The sequence below is a fragment of the Homo sapiens genome, chromosome 17 (assembly GCF_000001405.40).
Source record: "Homo sapiens chromosome 17, GRCh38.p14 Primary Assembly".
Lineage (NCBI taxonomy): Eukaryota > Metazoa > Chordata > Mammalia > Primates > Hominidae > Homo > Homo sapiens.
In genome coordinates this window covers 1025796-1045623 of record NC_000017.11, presented here as the reverse complement: position 1 = coordinate 1045623, position 19828 = coordinate 1025796, and the positions used below count along the sequence as shown (strand labels likewise).

The 19828-nt window shown below is 59.2% G+C and overlaps 1 protein-coding gene and 1 long non-coding RNA gene across 8 annotated transcripts in view, besides 1 other annotated feature; both read left to right on the top strand.

The window, feature by feature from the left end:
- Positions 1 to 19828, top strand: part of ABR (ABR activator of RhoGEF and GTPase) — a 226204-nt gene that overhangs the window by 184099 nt on the left and 22277 nt on the right. Inside the window, exon 1 of one of the 7 annotated variants that reach the window (NM_001256847.3) lies at positions 13793 to 14026. The exons of the other annotated variants lie outside the window; for them this stretch is intronic. Within the exon in view, the coding sequence (NP_001243776.1) occupies positions 13883 to 14026 (144 nt within the window). The 5' untranslated portion in view covers positions 13793 to 13882. Of the gene's footprint in view, positions 1 to 13792; positions 14027 to 19828 lie in introns of those variants that run through there. 7 annotated transcript variants of the gene reach the window in all.
- On the top strand, positions 11642 to 12944 carry LOC124903895 (uncharacterized). The gene is made up of 2 exons (XR_007065575.1): positions 11642 to 12268; positions 12347 to 12944. It is a non-coding gene; the product is annotated as an uncharacterized LOC124903895 (long non-coding RNA).
- Positions 14906 to 15075: an enhancer, noted in NCBI's record as "experimental_47633 CRE fragment used in MPRA reporter constructs". NCBI's record gives its function as "activates a minimal promoter by MPRAs in K562 erythroleukemia cells, with activity observed for the introgressed 17:933874 variant allele {active_cell/tissue: K562}" and the evidence as "EXISTENCE:reporter gene assay evidence [ECO:0000049][PMID:34662402]".

Here is a 19828-nt window from a genome sequence, read left to right as displayed (position 1 = left end):
GGAATATCATCACAGCTAGAAAGATGAGGAAGCTGGGGCTAAGGAGCCCGGACAAGGCCATGTGCCCAGGAGTGGGCCAGGGCGGGCAGCTGGCTGCAGAGCCCATTTCTAGATGTCCTGCTGCCTCCTGCTATAAGAAGACGGAAGATTGTCCTGCTGTAAGAAGACGGAAGATTGTCCTGCTGTAAGAAGACGGAAGATTGTCCTGCTGTAAGAAGACGGAAGATTGTCCTGCTGTAAGAAGACGGAAGATTGTCCTGCTGTAAGAAGATGGAAGATTGTCCTGCTATAAGAAGATGGAAGATTGTCCCGCAGGAATTCAGAGGCAGAAAGGTCACCATGGGCTGGAATTAGGGAGGCTTCAAGGAGGAGGTGGAACGAGAGCGATTTGGAAGCCCTGGGTTTTTTAATTCCAAAAGCAATGTTTGTATGAGAAAGAAAATTGCAGTAGAAGCAAAGAGACTTGAAACCTAATCAGAAACCATCCTTCCTCCGGCTCCTCCGAAGCAGCCAGTTTATTCTGTGCCTTTTCCCTTCTTGAGGTATACACATTTTTATGTAGATTTAATCAGGGCCTGTTTTGTCTGTTTTTCTGTTTTCATGGATTATTATAAACCTCCTTTTCTCTAGAGCTGTATGGAGTCTTCTTAAGCACCTTTTTGGATACTTTGTTAAAAGTACTTTATATTCTTTGTAGAAATCTTGGTATAGAGCGGCCAGCGCAATTGCTATGCTAAGGCTCTGTGTTATTCCAGCAAGGTGCGCAGGCTCCGCTTCCGCAGAAGGGAGTAGGGTGGGAGTTCTGGAGGACAGACCCGCCTGGCAGGGAGGCACGAATGTGAAGGGAGGGTCCCAGGAAAGTCAGGAGCCTCAGCAGGGGTGGCGGGGAGCTGCAAGCAAGGCCAGTAGAAGGAATGAATAAAAGGAGGGGATTCCTGGGGGTTTGGCCGGAAGAGGTATTTTTTTTTTTTTTGAGATGGGGTCTTGCTGTGCTGCCCAGGCTGGAGTGCAATGGCGCAATCTTGGCTCACTGCAACCTCTGCCTCCCAGGTTCACGCCATTCTCCTGTCCCAGCCTCCCGAGTAGCTGGGATTACAGGCGCCCACCACCATGCCCAGCTGATTTTTATTAGTAGTAGTAGAGACAGGGTTTCACCATGTTGACCAGGCTGGTCTCAAACTCCTGAGCTCAGGTGATCTGTCCACCTCAGCCTCCCAAAGTGCTGGGATTACAGGCCTGAGCCACGGCACCCGGCCTGGAATAAATCTTAGAGGGCGTTTAATCCAATCCTGTTTTCCGGAGAGAAGGAAATGGACACCAGCAAGGGTGAGCGAGGCAGCCGCGGTCACAGAGCTTGTTAGTGGGTGAACAAGGGCCCCAGACTCAGGGACCCCATCCAGGTCCGCTTAGCTGGGAGCCCCCCCTCCACCGGCTCTTGCCCCTGCCCCCGGCGTAGTCTGCCCTGGCTCCTGGTCCCAGGGGACTCCACTGTGTTTATCCTACTCTATTTCCAGCCTTGCCGCTCCAGCTGCAACCTACCCGCTAGCTGATTAGCATATTCCCAGGGTCCGGCCCTTCTTGGCGGGCTGGGCCTGAGGAGAGCGCTTTCCCTTGGGGCCCCACAGCTCAGTTTCTGCCAGCGTCCCCAGACTGGAGAAGGGCCTGAGACCAAGAAGCTACTTAAACCTGAGGGGCCCTCTGCACCCCCTGCCCGCCCCCCGGCCCTGCGTCATTCCCTCGCTCACCGCAGGCTGGGGACAGCCCCCACCCCACAGTCCACCTCTGCTCCCTGTGCCTGGGAGGCAGCTCCACTTCCCCACGTGCCTGCCAGGGCAGCCCCTCCCTGGGCACAGCAGCGCTGAAGACCCTGTGGTGGGAGGGGCAGGTTCCAGGCCAGGAAGGGAGTGTGAGCCACCGCGTCCGGCCTTTATTCTTTTTAAAGAAAAAATAGTGGTAGAAGCCAGGCATAGTAGCTCACGTGGTGTAGCTGTGGACTACTTGGGAGGCTAAGGAGGCTAGAGTGAGCTAAGGATTGCGCTACTGTACTCCAGCCTGGGTGACAGAGCAAGAGTCTATCTCCACTGAAAAAAATAAAAAATAAAAGATTGTAGTGAAATATACATAACATAAAGTTACCATTTTAATAAATTTTAGGGGCCGGGCGCGGTGGCTCACGCCTGTAATCCCAGCACTTTGGGAGGCCGAGGTAGATGGATCACCTGAGGTCAGGAGTTCAAGACCAGCCTGGCCAACATGGTGAGACCCCATCTCTACAAAGATTAAAAAAAATTAGCCGGGCGTGGTGGTGCACGCCTGTAGTCCCAGCTATTCGGGACACTGAGGCTGGAGAATTGCTTGAACCTGGGAGGCAGAGGTTGCAGTGAGCCAAGATCATGCCACTGCACTCCAGCCTGGGCAATAGAGTGAGACTCCATCTCAAAAAATAATAATTTTTGGGTGCACAGCTCCGTGGCCATAGGTGGATTTGGTGCTGTGCAGCCGTTGCCAGTGTGCATATCCAGAACTTGTTGGCCCTCCCCAGCCGAAACCCCATCCCCATTAAATCATAACTCCCCACTCCTGCACCCTTAGCCTCCAGTAACCACCTGCCTGCTTTCTGTCTGTACGAATTTGTCCAGTCTGGGAACCTTACGTAGGTGGAATCAGACAGCATTTGTCCTCCTCATGTCCTTGAGCTTCACCCATATGCCGTTGTGTGTCTGAATTTCCTCCCTTTCTGAGGCTGGATACAATTTCCCTGGATGTAGATGCCACGTCTCTTTATCTGCCCGTCCGTCCGTGGATGTAGGTGCCACGTCTGTTTATCCGTCTGTGGATATAGGTGCCACATCTGTTTATCCATCCATCCGTCCGTGAATGTAGGTGCCATGTCTGTTTATCCATCCATCCATCCGTGGATGTAGGTGCCACGTCTATTTATCCATCCATCTGTGGATGTAGGTGCCACGTCTGTTTGTCCTTCTGTCTGTCCGTGGATGTAGGTGCCACGTCTCTTCGTCCATCCATCCGTCTGTGGACGTAGGTGCCATGTCTGTTTACCCATCCATCCGTCCATGGATGTAGGTGCCACATCTGTTTATCCATCCGTCCGTGGATGTAGGTGCCATATCTGTTTGTCCACCCACCCGTGGATGTAGCTGCCACGTCTGTTTATCCGCCTGTCCATCTGTGGATGTAGCTGCCATGTCTATTTATCCATCCGTCCGTGGATGTAGGTGCCACGTCTGTTTATCCATCCGTTCGTGGATGTAGGTGCCACGTCTGTTTATTCATCCGTTTGTGGATGTAGCTGCCACGTCTGTTTATCCATCCATCCGCGGATGTAGGTGCCACGTCTGTTTATCCATCCATTCATGGATGTAGGTGCCATGTCTGTTTATCCGTCCGTCCGTGGATGTAGGTGCCATGTCTGTTTATCCGTCTGTCCGTCCGTCCATCCGTGCACATTTGGGTTGTTTCCACCCAAAACGCTCTTGCCTTTCGTTGAGAAAAAGAACCTTGTCCCTGAGGATGGAGACAGCACAGCCTCCTTCTCTCCAGACCCAAGCTCTGTCCCCCACCTGCCTCCCAGCTGTAATAGATGAGCAGGACCCGTGACCCTAGGGCATGACTGGTCACTATTAGTCTCCTGTAGTTGAAGCACACAGTTGGGCCCCCTGCCTCGGCCTTCTCTCCCCCTCCCGGCCAAGTGTCCCTGCCCCTTGACCCCTTCACCCTTCTTCCTGGGTCAGCTCTTTCCTCCCCTGGTCAGTGGTTTAGGTGCATCGAATGCAGACGCAGTCACCCTGAGGCCGCGGGAACAACCTCTGGTCCCTTGACTTCTTGGCATCTCAGTTTCTTCTTTTATTTATTTACTTATTTATATTTATTTGAGATGGAGTCTCTCTCTGTCGCCCAGGCTGAGTGTAATGGCGCAGTCTTGGCTCACTGCAACCTCCGTCTCCCGGGTTCAAGTGATTCTCCTGTCTCAGTCTCCTGGTTAGCTGGGATTAAAGGCGCCCGCCACCATGCCCAGCTAATTTTCGTATTTTTAGTAGAGACGGGGTTTTGCCATGTTGGCCAGGCTGGTCTCGAACTCCTGACCTTGTGATCCACCCGCCTCAGCCTCCCAAAGTGCTGGGATGACAGGCGTGAGCCACCGCACCCGGCCAAGTTTCTTTATTGATTCAGTGGGGGTAACTATTCCTACCCCACCTTCAGCACTGGCTTAAAGGATCTCACATACCTGGAAGAGCCAGTCGGTGCTGTGACGTGTGCGTCCACGCTTTCACCTGTTCACTCACTTGTTTCTGTTTACGATACATCCTCTGAATGGCAGGCCCTGGGCTGTGGGTACAAAGAATGACCAGGACCTCACCGTCTGGTAAAGAAAACAAGAGAACTTAGGCCAGGCACGGTGGTTCATGCCTGTAATCCCAGCACTTTAGGAGGCCGAGGCGGGCGGATCATGAGGTCAGGAGTTCGAGACCAGCCTGGCCAACATGGTGAAACGCCGTCTCTACTAAAAATAGAAAAATCAGCCGGGCGTGATGGTGCGCTCCTGTAATCCCAGCTACTCGGGAGGCTGAGGCAGGAGAATGGTGTGAACCAGGACCCAGGAGGTGGAGGTTGCGGTGAGCCGAGATTGCGCCATTACACTCCAGCCTGGGCTACAGAGCGAGACTCTGTCTCAAAAAAAGGAAAACGAGAACTTGGATCGTTAGCCAGTGTTGCCGGGGTTTTGAGGCCAGACAGATCTTGCGGGGCTGAGTCTAGCTTTCTCCATCGTTAGTTGGGAGAACAGAGCGAGTATCTTTGCCTCTGAGCCTCAGCTTCCTGACCTGTCAGATGGGCTGTAAGAGGACTGAATGTGAGGGTCCATGAAACCCTGGACCCGGGGCCTGGCATGGAGTCAGTACGTGGTTTGCCCTAAGCTGGCGGGTTCAGGCACCCTGTCCCCCACCCCCTTCCAGTGGTTCTGGGTGTCACTTGTCCAGCAGCCCCCTCCTAAAGGCTGTCACCTATAAGTGGTCCCCTGGGTCGGGGCCTTTGGCTGGCCGAGGCAGCATTATTTTCTTAAGCTGATGGGGTCAGACTGGCTTTGCTGAACCAACCTCATAGCAGGGGCGGGGAAGTCAAGGCTGGGGCCCTCAATGCCGGCTGGCCCGAGGTTTCCCTGCCATGACCCAGCACGGCAGCTCTGAGCTTGGCCTGGTGTGGTCGGAAACAAGGGGCCTTTGTCAGCGGCTGGGGAGCAGCTTCTGGTTTCAATTACTCTGGAGAGCACGAGGAAGCTTGCAGAGAACGTGGGGCCGGAGCCCGCCAGGGCAGGAGTCAAGGGCTCCCCTGCCCCACTTCCCTCCCTCTGACCCCCAAGGGGTGTCTTGTCCCCATTCGACCCTGCCTGAGGGTCCTGCGCGTGCGTCCTGGGGGCCCTGGGTTGTGAGCCCAGAGCCCCTTCCAGCTCCGGCCCCCTCTCGTTCTTCATAGTGGTACTGGGACCCCTCCCAGGAAGATGATCGACGGCCGGTAACGTGGGTCCTCAGTGCTTCCCCGTTCCAGGCCTCACGCGTGGGCCACACTGACCACAGCCGGGCCCCTGGCCCTGAGGGAGGCCTTGATTCAACTGGGAAGGAACACAGGCCTTTCCCTTTGGTTCCATCTCTCCCGTCCCCAACCCCTGCCCTGGCACTCACAGCCCCCATAGCTCCCTGTCGTGGGACACCGGAGTGACCTCTCCCTGGAAGATCAGCCCGCGTCGGCGCCCGCCAAGGCCAGGAGTGCATGTCAGGCCCCGCCTCGGCTCCTGGCTTAGGAGTTCCGCCTCCCTGCTGCTTGCCACCCTCACAGCTGGCCCACGTGGGGCTCTTCCCTCTGCCGCCACCCCCACCCCTGTGCCAGTTCCCCAGGCACATAGGGACCGTGGAGGCTGAGCCCCAGGCCTGGTTCTACTTCCTGCTGACTCTCCACTTCCTCCCAGGGCCCCGTGACTGCAGCCATTGTCCTGCTCTGGCCCTGCCCACCCCAGCTGTTTCGGGCACATTTGTTCTCCAGCCCAGACTCCCACCTGCTGTCCCTCTTCAAGGCAGGTCTAGACGCCTGGTTCTCCTTGGAGAGTGGGCAGCAGAGACTGTCCTGGGTGGGGGAAGTCGGGGGAGGGTCCCTCGAGAGTGCCTGCCCTGCCGTCGAAAGCTTTTCCAAACGTGGGGCACGAACCTCTCTCGTCAGCCCTGCTCAGCTGCCTCCATCGCCCAGGTGTTCCTGATTTTGGGAGCCTGGACTCTGCCCAGTGGATTCTGGGCAGGAAGCATCCAGCAGGAAGCAGATGGAGGTGTGAGTCGGCTCCCCCCGCTCCCCTCCACCCCTGGGAAGTGCCGCCTCAGCAGGCAGGCTTGGCGCCCGCTCCCCCTGACCCGCCTCTGAAGGGTGGGCACCATGCAGAGAAGCCGGTCCAGACAGGACCTCAGGAGCCGATGCAGTCAGGCCCTGAGAACATCCAGCCTCCCGACAGACCAAAAAAAGGTGTTCTCAGCTCTGGGTGCCGGGCTCCCAGACTCAGAGGCACGGGACCTGGGTTTGATCTTAGCCGGCCAACCTCGGGTGACCCTTCAGAGAGTGTCCTCTCGGGTCCGTGGCATTCAGCGAACTCGCCGAGGCGAAAGCCGCAGACATAGATTCCTCCCCGTGAGCCGCTAACCTCCCTGCTGGCGGAGGCTGCTGCTTCCTCCTAGGAATCCAAAGGATCAGCTCCAGGGTTGTCCCACTTTCCGTGTTTTCTGAAAGCTTCAAGAGAAGGATGCCACAGAAGGGTTGCCAGAGAATTTCTTGAGTTAGGGCTGAGGCTGCAGATGAATGCTGAGCGGGGGTCACCTTTAGGGTGGGCTCTGCTGGCCTCCCTCAAGCCTGCGGCCACCGCAGACTCACAGCAGCCCCTCGTGGCCAGCCCCGCCCTTGCCGTGGCCTGGGGGCGTGGACATTGGTGGTGCTGGGCGAGGGTCTAAGCCCCAGTGTAGCCTGTAGCTTTGGGCTGGGGCAGGGAGGGATGGGCACACCGTGTTCACGCCCTCGGAGGCAAGTGCTGAGCTGCCCTGGCTTCAGGAAAGACCCTAGCGCGGCTGGAGACGCAAGATGACCCAGACACACCCGCCTGACCCACTAGACAGGTGCTGTCCCCTCTCGAGGCTGCCAGGGCGAACCCACAGCCACTGAGCAAAAGCCCTGAGTTTCCCAAAGGAGGGAGAGAAGCAGAGACACGACTGGAGCTGCAGGTTCAGCGTCTGACCCAGAGGTGTCCTTACAAAGCCCCTAATCTCTCAGACCCCCACGTCCCCCACCCCGAGGGAGAGCGAGGCCTTCGGGAGAACTGCCTCTAGGAGCTGCTGGGAACCTAAGGTTTGAGCTGTAGATGCCTGAAAGGAGGGCGGGGCGCTGAGGTGTGCCTCAGATTCTGCCTGTGGGGCGTGGGAATTCCGGGGAGGGACGTGAGCCCCAAGGCAGGCGAGGGGTGGTGGAAAAGCAGGTGTGAGCCAGTGGGCCCCACGTCCCCTCTTCAGCCAGGGCGCCTGCTCTCTCTGCTTCTGCTTTTATCCGACGAGGTGGGCAGGGAGACGTCGGCATAAAATTTCATTTGGAAAAAACGGCAGGGGTGCGTCCTCAGCAGAAAAGAAATCTCACCGGAGACCATGTGTCTGTTCCGAGCTCCTGATTTGACAGCTGTGGAAACTGAACCCAGAGAAAAACACAGCCGTTGAGTCCACAGGTCCCTGGCTCCCAGGGCTTTGCTTCTGGCCACCATGAGCTCGGAGCTTGGGTGGAAGGGAGGTGTTCGGGAATCCAGAATGAAGAAAGAGCAGGGAGGCTCGGCGACCCCATCCCACCTTCAGGCCTCAGCCCCTCCTGCCTCAGGCTGCAATTTATGGCTGTGCTGGGAGACCCGGCCACACCCCCTCCTTCCCGGGAGGAGGAGCAGGCAAGCAGCCCAGGGGGGCTCCAGCGGTAGGGACAGCATACTGAGGGGCCACGCCCTGCCCACTCTGTCCCTGGGTGAGTTTTGTTCTAGATAAGCAAGATGTTCCCAAAGGCTCAAGTGCATTTTTCACCCTTTTCCATGACCAAATGTGCTGTGAGAATCGCTAGGGTTTGCCAGGGACGGGCTGTCGGGACACTTCTCCTGCAGCAGACAAGCTCTTGGGCTGTTTCAGCCTCTCCTCCGTACCTAGAACCACCGAGCACCCTGGCGACACCAGCCTGACGTGGCCAGAGAGAGGCTGGAGGTCAGGCAGAGGGAGGCTGGAGCTGTGTGAGAAGCAGCACGTACTCGGGACTGCCCTATGAGCCGGCACAGGCCTTTGGGGAGTTGGGAGGACAGCAGGTTACCTTGGGCAGGCCTAGGTCTGGGCCGTAGAGCAACTGATTTCATCCTGACTGCCTTCTTCCTTACACTGTGCCCATCTTCAACCTTGAGCCCACCCTGGACCCCTCTCCCAGCCCCACCTGGATGGATGGGTGGGTGGGTGGATGGATGGATGGATGGATGGAAGGATGGGTGGGTGGGTGGATGGATGGGTGGATGGATGGATGGATGGGTGGATGGATGGAAGGAAGGAAGGATGGAAGGAAGGAAGGATGGAAGGAAGGAAAGAAAGAAACAAACATAGCTCCTAGGGTCTAATCTGCCATTGGCTGCTGGGTGACTCCTGTCCCCAGGCTGAATGCAGGCTCTGAACATTGCAAATACCCAGAGGTATCCGATGGGTGGGGAGAAAAACCTAGAGTGAGTCTCAGTGTCTCATTCTGGGAAGACATTTGGCCTTCCAGTCCGCAGGTTTTGGTTAGGGTCGGTACAGGAAATGGTCAGAACACACAGTAAGAATGCAGTGACCACAGAGCCACCGAGTTGGGGGACACTCCCGTCCCCACTCCCCCACAGCTGTCCCCGGAACGTGCCATCCTCCCGCCCAACTCGCACGCCCTGTGTGGGCGCTGGGCACCCCGGGCTCCCATGCTCGGCCTGCTTGTCTCTCTCTCATCCTGGAGCCTGCACCTGTCTTTGGGCAGGAGCCACTGGCAGGCTCTCTGCAGCCCCCAAAGCCTCGGGTCCGCCCTGCTCTCCTCCAGCACCTTCTTGCCCCCCAGCCTCGGGTCCGCCCTGCTCTCCTCCAGCACCTTCTTGTCCCCCAGCTCTGGTCCTCTGATGCCCAGCCGGTGCCCTGATCCTCTGGTGCTGAGAGAGGGAGTGTTCTTGGCAGACCTGAGCCACATCCCCTCGGTCCCCATCCTCAGCTGGGTGCCAGGCTCCTCCTGGGCTCTGGACTCTCTGGGCGGCCTCTTGGGGCTCTCCCCGCCCCAACTGGCTCCCAGGCTATCCCCACTGGGGCGCCTGTGGCCTTGGTCTAGCTGGCTGCTCAGAAACCCCCTCTCCTGGAGTCATTTGCGCTAGCGGATAGGACGAGGAATCGGGGTTCAAGTGTGGGCTGGGGGAGAGGAGCGTCGTTCTGGTGGGAAAAAGGAGGTCACTCCAGGAAAGCGGCAGCTGCATTTCTAGGTTCTGAGGCAGAACCTTCCTCCTGGTGCTCACAGGCTGGAGGATTTGCCTGGAAGCCGTCCCCACCCCCAGCTGTCACCGAGGCAGCCCCACTGCAGCCTTTGCCCCTCCCGCTCGCACAGGGCAGGATGTGACCTTTTTTCCTCGTTGATGCCGCCACTGAACACCTTAACCCGATTTTACCTCAGTCACAGCTGTGCTGGGTGGCATGACCCCCTCCCTAGGTGTAATGCGGGGTCCCACCCACGTCTCCCCGGGGACAGCCCCTCTCACTCCCCTTGCAGAGAGCCTGGGGAGGGGCTGAGGGAGGATGGGATGGTCCACTAGGAATGTTTTTAATTCCAAAGGCAGTGACATCTGTTCGTGGGGGCCTTACCACCAGGCTCTGTTTATCCAGCCGGGGGAGTCTTGCAGGTCGTCTGAGGAGGGCTCTGGCAGGTGTGGGGGATGGAAGGGGTGGGGGGAGCAGGTGTGGGGGATGGAAGGGGTGGGGGGAGCAGGTGTGGGGGATGGAAGGGGTGGGGGGAGCAGGTGGGGGTAGAAAGGGTGGGGGGAGCAGGTGTGGGGGATGGAAGGGGTGGGGGGAGCAGGTGTGGGGGATGGAAGGGGTGGGGGAACAGGTGTGGGGGATGGAAGGGGTGGGGGGAGCAGGTGTAGGGGATGGAAGGGGTGGGGGAGCAGGTGTGGGGGATGGAAGGGGTGGGGGAGCAGGTGTAGGGGGTGGAAGGGGTGGGGGGGAGCAGGTTTAGGGGATGGAAGGAGTGAGGGAGGAAGGAGAGTGGCCCCTTCCCAGGTGGTTGGGATAGCCTGAGCTGAACCCAGCAGAGATGAGGAGGGGTCCGTGGTGGGCTGCAGCGACTAGAATTCAGACTTCTGCTTTTGCTGGGGACATCTGTCTTGCACAGATCTTCTTCCACCCAAGACCATTGACTCCAGGAAGCAATGAGTCGGGCTTGGGGGAGAGAAGGCAAGTCTGCGCTGTCCCCAGAGGAAGCCCCCAGTCCATAGGGAGGAAGGGAAAGATGAGCGTCTCAGGGGAAGACTCCCAACTCGGCTACCCATCTGCGAAGGCACTTATGTCACCATGGAGACCAGCTGGCCATCGTTCATCCAGTCCGAGCTTGCTTTACCTAGACAAGTATTGAGCCTGTGGTACCTAAGACAGATGAGTGCCGGGCCTTGGGAACGGGATTCACACGGCCCCCTTCTCCCCCACACCCGGCGGCAGGGAGGGGCGTGCATTCTCGCAGTCTGCACCCTGTGGCCTGGGACCCAGCCCGAGGGAAGGGGACCATAGGCCAGTGAGGGGCCGATTCTGAAGTTAAGTCACGGCACCAGGAGCACTGTGGCGCAAACGTGGAGAGCAGTTATAATGGCATCCTACCAGCCAGTTACATGACAGCCATTGCACGTTTGCTGGAGGGAGGTAGAGTAAAGCTGGGACCCAGTGAGGGTGGATGGCCTTTCCCTACAGCCCCGAGGGCCCCACGCTGACCCCTCTCCTCCAGGAAGCCTTCCCCAGTTGCCTCCAGCTGGAAATTGTATCTCTCGATGTTCGTGGCATTTTGTCTGTCCTGTTCTGAGGCCGTAATATGGGATTTTGTGCGGGTTTTGTCCATCTGGGCGTGGTGCCTAGTAGGTGCACAAGTGACCCGTGCCAAATGCACAAATGCTTGTCTGCCTCCTGTTGATGGACATCTCTGCTTTCTTGGCTGCCCCTTTGTCAAGCACTGACTTTTGATTCGTCTCTGTGATGCCTTAACCCCCACCCCAGGGTCGGGCACGCAGCCAGGCCCTCAGTCACTACCTCTAGAGTGACATGAGTGGGGCCAGGTGCAGTGGTTCATGCCTGTAAACCCAGCACTGTGGGAGGCTGAGGTCAGGAGTTTGAGACCAGCCTGGCCAGCATGGTGAAACCTCGTCTCTGCGAAAAATACAAAAATTAGCCGGGCGTGGTGGTGGGTGTGTGTAGTCCCATCTACTCAAGGGGCTGAGGCAGGAGAGTTGCTTGAGCTGGGGAGGCGGAGGCTGCAGTGAGCCAAGATTGCACCACTGCACTCCAGCCTGGGCAACAGAGCAAGACACTGCCTCAAAAAAAAAAAAAAAAAAATGACATGAGTGGGACCAAGCAGTGGGGCCTGAGGAGTGAGCAGAGCCTTCCTGGAGGAGATGGCTTTGTGGCTGTGTGAAGGGGCTGTCTGGGTCCTCCTGGAGCCCTGGAAGGGGCAGGCGAAGGAGGGGTGGAGAAGGGTGACTGAGGCCTCAGTTAGGGGACACAGGCATGTTCCTACCTCCGTCCGTCTCTCCACCTCCCCCTCAGGCGGTGCTGGTGAGGCTGTTGTGGCTCAGCCCCCACTTAGCAGCTCAGGTTTGAGGAAGTTCCGTGTGCACCGTCCAGGGGTGCGTGTGACGTGTGAGCCAGGAAGAAGTGGAGCTGGTCTGGCCGCCCCTGCAGGGACAGTGAAGACTGAGGCCCGGTTCTAGCCCAGGCAGGACGCCCCAAGGCCCCCCTCCACCAGCCAGGTGGAAGATAGTCCAGGGCCAGATCCTGCCACACTAGGGCATCACAGTGAGTGACAGGGGTGTGGGCTTTGGAGTTAGCCAGACCTCCGTTTGTGTTCCAGCTTGTCCTGGCCTTGGACACGTAGCTCAGCTTGTCAGAGCCCTTCGTTTCCTCAGAGGTAAAGCGGGGATGCTGGTACTGACTTCATACAGTTGGGAGGGGTAAGTGACTTAATCCATGATGCCTGGTCCCTGCCAGCCTTCCACGAAGGACAGCTCTGACTACGGCTGTCTCTGCAGGGAAGCCACCTATTCCTCAAAAACACCAAGGCCTCTGAGGAGAAATCCCGACACCTGCCTGGCTGGTGACGCCGGATGCCGAGGGCTCGTCTCTGGGCCCCGACCCACCTGCCTTGGGGTCAACCAAGAAATGTCCTGACCCAGCTCTTTTTCCTGAATCCAAAGCATCATCCATGTTTGAGTAAGGCACAGTGCTTGTGAGCACCAAGGGCTTTGGAGGGACCTCCCCATCCTCACTTGGCACTGTGTAACCCTGGCAAGAACTGGACCTCCTGACCCCCTGTCCTCACCTCTCTAGAACAGGGCAGTAACACCAACATGACAAGAATGTGAGGCTCACATGCAGTCGGGCGTTTGAAAGACCTGGTTCGCGGTTGCCACGGTGCAAATACTGGTTTCCTTTCTGTGCCGTGCTGGGGTCTGCAGAGGTCCGAGGCCCCAGACACCCCTGGGTTTTGCATAGTTAAACATTTGGGATTCAGCCTTTCTCTTTTCTCTGAATACCGTACTCTAACTTGCACTGTTACCTTGAGACGTAATTTGTGTCCTAGTCTCTGCGGTTAGAAAGTTCACTAAATAAATTGAAGGTCAAGAACAAGTTCTTCTCTCTCTCAAGGCGCCCAGCACGGACACGGGTGGTTGCCCGTGGCGTCCTCTGCGCCCAGCACGGACGCGGGTGGTTGCCCGTGGCGTCCTCTGCGCCCAGCACGGACGCGGGTGGTTGCCCGTGGCGTCCTCTGCCCCTGGCAGCGGAAACCTTTTTTGGTGAGGTGCAAAGGGCCATGGTTCAAAGTGACCCCTCAAGAGGCATCTCTGGCTGGACGTGTGACCCGCGTCGTTTCGGGCTTTTGCTCCTGTCCCTGAGCAGATCAGTGACCCGATTCCCACTGGGATTCCCACACTAGGGGTCTCCTTTATCCTTACATTTCTCACCTGAGGAGGCTTCTGAGTGCCGGTCCACAAGGGTCTGGCCGGGTCACCAAGCTGGCTCTGAGGAAGGTGCCTGGGGCAGAAGTTGGGGGTGGGGAAGTGCGACCCCAGGGCAGTCAGAGTCTTTTGCCCGGGGAGGAGGGCAGCTGTTTGTGGCCAAAATGCAGCCCCCGCCTGGCCCCCGGCCCCTCCGCTTGGCCCCTGGAGCAGCCCGGTGGGCAACACGGGGACCCAGCAGGGAGGGACTGGGGTGTGGGGCTGGTGTAAACTTTATTGCGAGGGAGGGCGGCGGGGTCGGGGAGGAGCAGCGCCCTTGCCAGGGATGAAACCCGGGGTTGGGGCTTGGAGGGGCGGCCCTGGGCCTGGGAGGCGGCGCTCAGCCTGGGCTGCAGCCTCGCGGAGGGCGGGGAAGGAGGGATGCGGAGGAGGGAGGAGGGAGGAGGGACGCGGACGGAGGGAGGGAGGGAGGGGAGCGCGGGGAGGGAGGGAGGGAGGGAGGCGAGCGCGGGGAAAGCCGGCGGGACTAGGGAACTAGCGGGACTGGCAGCCGGGACTGAGCGCTCCACAGGCGCCTTCTCTCCAGCGCCGCGTCCCGTCCCCCCCGGCATGACCGACGTCCTGCCCCAGCCCGACTGCAGCCCGAAGGCGGGGCGCGAACCCCTGGCGCTGGAGGAGTCGGGGAGCAAGCGCCCCCCCAACACCGGCGCCCGGCTCTGGGGCCGCGTGCGCAACAAGCTGCTCCGAAACAAGGTGCCCGCGGGGGCTGGAGGTTCCGGGGGGTGGGGGCTCGGGGGCGCTGCGGGGCTCGGGGGGCTGCGGGGGCTGCGGGGGCTGATGGGGTCCCGCTCCCGCCCCCTCCGTGGAGTCCCGGGACAGAGCTGGGGTCTGTGCGCGTCCCTCTAAGTGGCTTGAACTTGATGGCGAACGCTGGGGCCGCCCCCACCCGGACCCTGGCGCTCGGGCATCTGCCCCTGCCTCGGGAGAAGGGAGGTTTCTTCTCGGCAGGTGGACCCTGCTTTCCACTCCGGGAGTGCAAACAGCGCACGGGGAGACGCCTGCCTCTGGGTCTATGTCTTGCCGCCCTGTTCAGCCTCTACCTGATCCCTGCATCCAGCGGGCCTTGCTGGCTGCCCCTTTGCTGAGGGGCGCCGACCGCAGCACCGTCTGCCGTGTGAGGTTTCTCTGTGCAGGATTGTGGGGAGGGGAGATGCTGCCGGGTCTGGGGGCTCGAGGCTTCCCTTCAGGGACCACCCATCTGACTGTGGGCCCAGTGCCCGCCGGGCACCAGGCGTTCCGTCCATGTGCCAGGGCAGACCGCCGGTGCCCCTGCAGCCCCAGACCTGAGTTGGGATTAAAATCTGAGATAGAAGCCGACTGTCCTGCAGCTGGGCAGGCTGCCTCGGGGCTGGCTTGGGGCCCTGGCATCAGGCACGTGAGGAAGAGCCAGACCCAGCGCCCAGCGCACAGGAAGTGCTCGATAACTCTGCAGATCAAATCAACTGTCCGAGTTAGCTGTCTCAGAGTGCCAGTCCGGCTGGCCAGGGCTGGGCCCATCCATCAAGAGAGCAACAAGGGAGGCCTTGGCCAGTCCGTGGTGGGGATCTGCAGCTCCTCCTGAGGCTCACAGGACCTCTCTGCAGGCTCTTACTGCCAGCCGGCATTGAGGCTCCTGGCATCAGCCAGGACGAAGTGATCTTGGGCTCACTGGCCCCTCGTTTTGTTTCAGCTCCTGCCATGGGGCATACTTGACCTCCCAGAGGTGACATCAGCCCTGGAAAGTGCTGGGCAGGGCAGCAACTTGAGCTGTACTGCACTGGCCCCTGTGTCACCTTCAGCCTCCCTGGGGACTGGGCTAGCAGAGCCCTGCTGGCCCCAGCTGCTGCCAGAGCCCCTCTGTGCTGAGGCAGCTGTCTGTGCCCGGCAGCGTGGACTCATCCCCTCCCCAGCCCCTGCTGAGGCCAGCAGGCACCAGCCCAGAGCTCACCATCCATCCCCAAACGTCAGGGTTGGCAAGAAACTGACCTGGCAGGTTCCGGGTCCAGCGCCAGCCAAACAGGGCGCTTCCAGTTTACCTGCCCCTTTGAGGAGGTGCCTGGTGGGCAGGGGGCAACTTTTAAACCTGAGGTCCCAGACTTTCAGTTCTTTCCCTATGCATTTGTGGCCGGCAGAACTGAGAAGCCCCTTCAAGAATTCCTTAGCTGGGTTTGCCTCTGGCAGTGCCTGGTGGCTCCGTGTCTGATGGGGATCTCTGGGCAGGGGTGGTGGCCAGGCAGACGCCGGGCTATTGAGCTGCTGAGCAGTTGGCGTCAGTGCAGCTCAGGGTGGCCCCGGCCCTGGGCTGCTCTGTGTGACGAGCGATTCCATCCCCTAACGTGTGCTGTGTGCCACAGTGTGTCCGTGTCGTGGACGCAGGGGTCAGCGCTGTGGCGGACGGAGGGACGTCTGCCACAGTGTGTCCGTGTCGTGGACGCAGGGGTCAGCGCTGTGGTGGACGGAGGGACGTCTGCCACAGTGTGTCCGTGTCGTGGACACGGGTCAGCGCTGTGGTGGACGGAGGGACGTCTGCCCTGTGCTTCCCACCTCACTGTGCGCAGGCCAGCGGGTGAGCAGCAGAGTCAAAGGGCCAGGCCTCTTGCTTTCTATCCTCAGCCACATTAACCTGGCATTTTCCTGCAGGAGCTTCACAGTTGGGCCGAGGGGCTGGGACTAGGCAGTTTCGTTTCGGTGGGGTAAGGGAAGGGTGCCTGGTACTGCCCAGACTGGCAGGAGGGATTGCCTCATTAACTCCTCGTTAACTTTGCCCTGAGTGATGCTGTGGGTGCGAGAAACACCGGTGGCCCTCCTGCTTCCACTGACCTGAAGGTTCATTAAAGGCTGGAGGCGGGGCGTGACTCATCCAGGGCTGGGATTAAACAATCTGTTCAGATGGAAAGGTCTCATGATCAGAACTGAGCCTTTAAATAGTGCAGGGCCTCTGGTTTCTGGGGGAGAGGAGGCAGGGACACTCACGGAGGATCCTTTGGGTACCAGCGGGGGTCCCTGTGGTTGGGCTGTTCTTGTCACCGGAGGAGAGTTCAGGGGCCAAAGCCTCATTCCAGCCCCTGACTTGGCAGTCAGCTTTTTGTGCGAGTGTTTAGCTGGGAGACACGTGGCATCTGGGTTTGTGGGTTCAGCCAGGGCTCTCGGTATTGAACTTCGCGTTTCTACTTTTCTTTCCTTTTCCCTGTTTGTTTTTTTTTTTTTTTGCCTCAAATCACACTCAAGTAGACCAGGCCCGGTGCCTTCCTCTCCCTCCCATCCTTCCCTCTTCTAGATTCTTGGTTGAGCTTTGGATGGGAAGGGGCTGAATTCTAGATTCTCGCTTGAGCTTTGGAGGGGAAGGGGCTGAAGGAGGAACCCCCCCACCCTGCCCCCGCAGCATCCCCTTGTGGGAGCCGTGAGGAGGCTAAGAGGGCCTGAAGGGAGGCCGGTCCAGAAGCATTTGTCTGTCGGGGAAGTTGAGGCCCTTATAGAGCAACCAAGTCCAAGACGCTCCTGACCCAGACCAGGCCAGATGCTGGCCGGCGGTGGGGACTCAGGCTGAGCCGGCAGGGTGTAAGGAGATTGAGTGCAGCTTCAGGTGACCTTGTCTCTGCCCTGAAGCACAGCCATGTGGGTCTGAGAATCCCCTACTTCCAAAGAGCTCCTCTTAAGCTGGACACCGGCACTGCTGACCCCCACGGTGAGTCCCGTGTTCTGTGATGGGAGCTGCTGCCTTTGCTTCAGAGAGGATCAGAGGTGTTACCTGAGGAAGGGCGGGGTGGAGAGCCCCTCTTGGGCCATTCGGGGAAGCTTCAGGCTCATGATGGTCTTAGAAGAAGGTCCCTTTCTTGGATCACCTGATGTCAGGAGTCCAAGACCAGCCTGGCCAACATGGAGAAGCCCCGTCTCAACTAACAATGCAAAAATTAGCCAAGTGTGGTGGCTCACGCCTGTCATCCCAGCACTTTGGGAGGCAGAGGCGGGTGGATCACCTGAGGTCAGGCGTTCGAGACCAGCCTGGCCAACATGGTGAAACCCCGTGTCTACTAAAAATACAAAAAAAAAAAAAATAGCCGGGCATGGTGGCGGGCACCTGTAATCCCAGCTGCTAGGGAGGCTGAGGCAGGAGCATCGCTTGAACCTGGGAGGTGGAGGTTGCAGTGAGCCGAGATCATGCCACTGCACTCCAGCCTGGGCAACAGAGCGAGACTCGGTCTTGGGGTGGGGGGAGGAAAGGGTCCCTTTCTTTGTCAGCTTGATCGCCACCGCAGGACAACCCCACCCCTCACAGAGCCTGTCGTTTATTCCTTCTTGATGGTACCAGGTGTGCAGACCACGTGCACACCCCAGAGGTTCACTCTACCACTCACTTGGCCATCGAGGGTACACAGGTGCTGGGTACAAGATACAGATATGTCTTGGGCTCGTCTACTTTATTTTATAATCCAGTCTGGGCGTCAGGAAAGATCTCGCAGCCTTCTGCAATAGAAGTCTGGCCTGGCCCGGCTGCCCACCGCCCTTCCTTGTTTCCCGGTGGGAAGAAAGCTTCATCGTGCGTCTTCTCTGTTCACACACACCCCCATAGCGACCCCTCAGCCACAGACAGGGGACTACAGTGCTGCCTCCCCCGAGAGCTGGAGGCCCCTACACCAGCCCACCTCTTCCTGGGCCTATGTGTGGGTCCTGACTGCGGCCAGGCTGGCTGACAGGTTGGCAGTGGGGTCGGGCGACCCTCCCTCTTTTCCACAGCACTTACCCACCTGCCGAGTGGGCAGACCTCACTGCTGGGGCCTCATGAGTACTCTCTGATCTCTCTGCCAGGCCAGCTCCCAAGAGGCTTGCTTGAGTCCGCAGAGCGGGAACCCTGGACTCTGAGAATCTGATGAAGGTTCTGGAGGCCACTCAGACACAGAGCCACCCCATGCACACACTGTGTGCGACTTCAGAGGGGGCTGCAGACATCAAGGCGGGAACCCTGCTCTGAGTGAACTTGGCAAGGTGCCGCTTCTTGGTACCTAGGGAGGGTAGAAGGGCGCTGGTCCTCCCCGGCCTCCCTGCAGGCCACAGACGGCTTGGCCAGCCAGCGGTGCTGGGCGCGGTGCCCCAGCTTTTGGATGGCTCTGGACCAGGGAGAGGAGAACCTGCCAATCAAGGGGGTTCCTCAAAGGCCAAAGCTGCCTGAGCCCAGTGTTGCTGTAGTACCCAGAGGCAATGAGGCCCCAGACATTTTGGAAGGAGCCCCCAAGCCTGCAGGTGTGGCTGGGGGAGCTGCCCCAGGCATTTTGGAAGGAGCCCCCAAGCCTGCAGGTGTGAGTCTGGGGGAGCTGCCCCAGGCATTTTGGAAGGAGCCCCCAAGCCTGCAGGTGTGAGTCTGGGGGAGCTGCCCCAGGCATTTTGGAAGCGCCCCCAAGCCTGCAGGTGTGAGTCTGGGGGAGCTGCCAGGTGTTGGCCACAGGGCGCTGGTGCTGGAGAGGCCTGGCCCTCTGCTGAGTGGCCTCGCTCACTGCCCAGGTGGTTGGGAACTGGTCAGCAGGTGCTGTTCTTTGACCTCGTTTCCCCTGTGAACTCATGCTGGGGCAGGAAGATGTTTGTGTCCTGACGGCCCCCCAGCACCTTCGAGGAACAGACAGTCCCCTGCGCCTGTGACCTGCCTGCCCCACCCTGGGGAGAAACGCAGCGTCAGTCCTGGGTCCAGTGAGCCGTAGACCCTTGGCCCTCCAGGATGGGCCCTGGAGAGGCGGGAGGGGCCCGTGGAGCTGGTCCTGGGCTTCTGTAGAGAGGCCAGGAGGCCCCAGGATCCCCACAGAGACTTCCCCAGTCCCGCTTCAAGACAGCGGAACCAGCTCCTGAGCCGAAATCTGGAGGGATCTCCTTTCTGGACCGTGACCCCAGCCGGGGCTGGTACCGATGACCGGCACAGCCAGAGCCGTGACATCCACAGCGCCCTTCCCATCCGATGCCTGGATGCCGTGGCTGTGCTCGGGGAGGCCTCCGGGGTCCCCAGCCCCTCAGGCTCATGTGGCACAAGGTGCCAGAGAAGACAGGGCGCCAGGCCGGTGGGAGTCAAGGTTTCCCATTTTTCTCGTCTCAGTCTGCTACTTAACTGCTGTGTGCCCGCGAGTACATCCCTTTGCCTCTCTGGTTCTCTGGTATCAGCTCAATGAAGGAGCTGAACAGGATGATCTCCTGGAATCCAGTTCATGTGATGATCTTGGCCATGTCTCAAGATTCCTAGTCCTAAACCTTAAACCCTGAGCACCCTGGGAGAGTCTGTCACAGGGCTGCACCTGGGCCAATGCCAGCCATTCAGTGGACACGGGAGCAGGGGGTTTAGTGGGAACACAGGGCTTCTTGAGCCCTGTCCTGAAGCAGCCCCGGCGGGGAGCCATTGTCACCTCCTTCCCCCATGCCCCAGTTGGTTCCTCTGGCCTGTGAGTATTGCCGGAGCACCTTCCACGTGCCAGGCCTGCAGGAACTAGGGACACAGAGGCGCCCGAGACAGACGAGACCCTGTCTGCAGGAGGAGTCCGT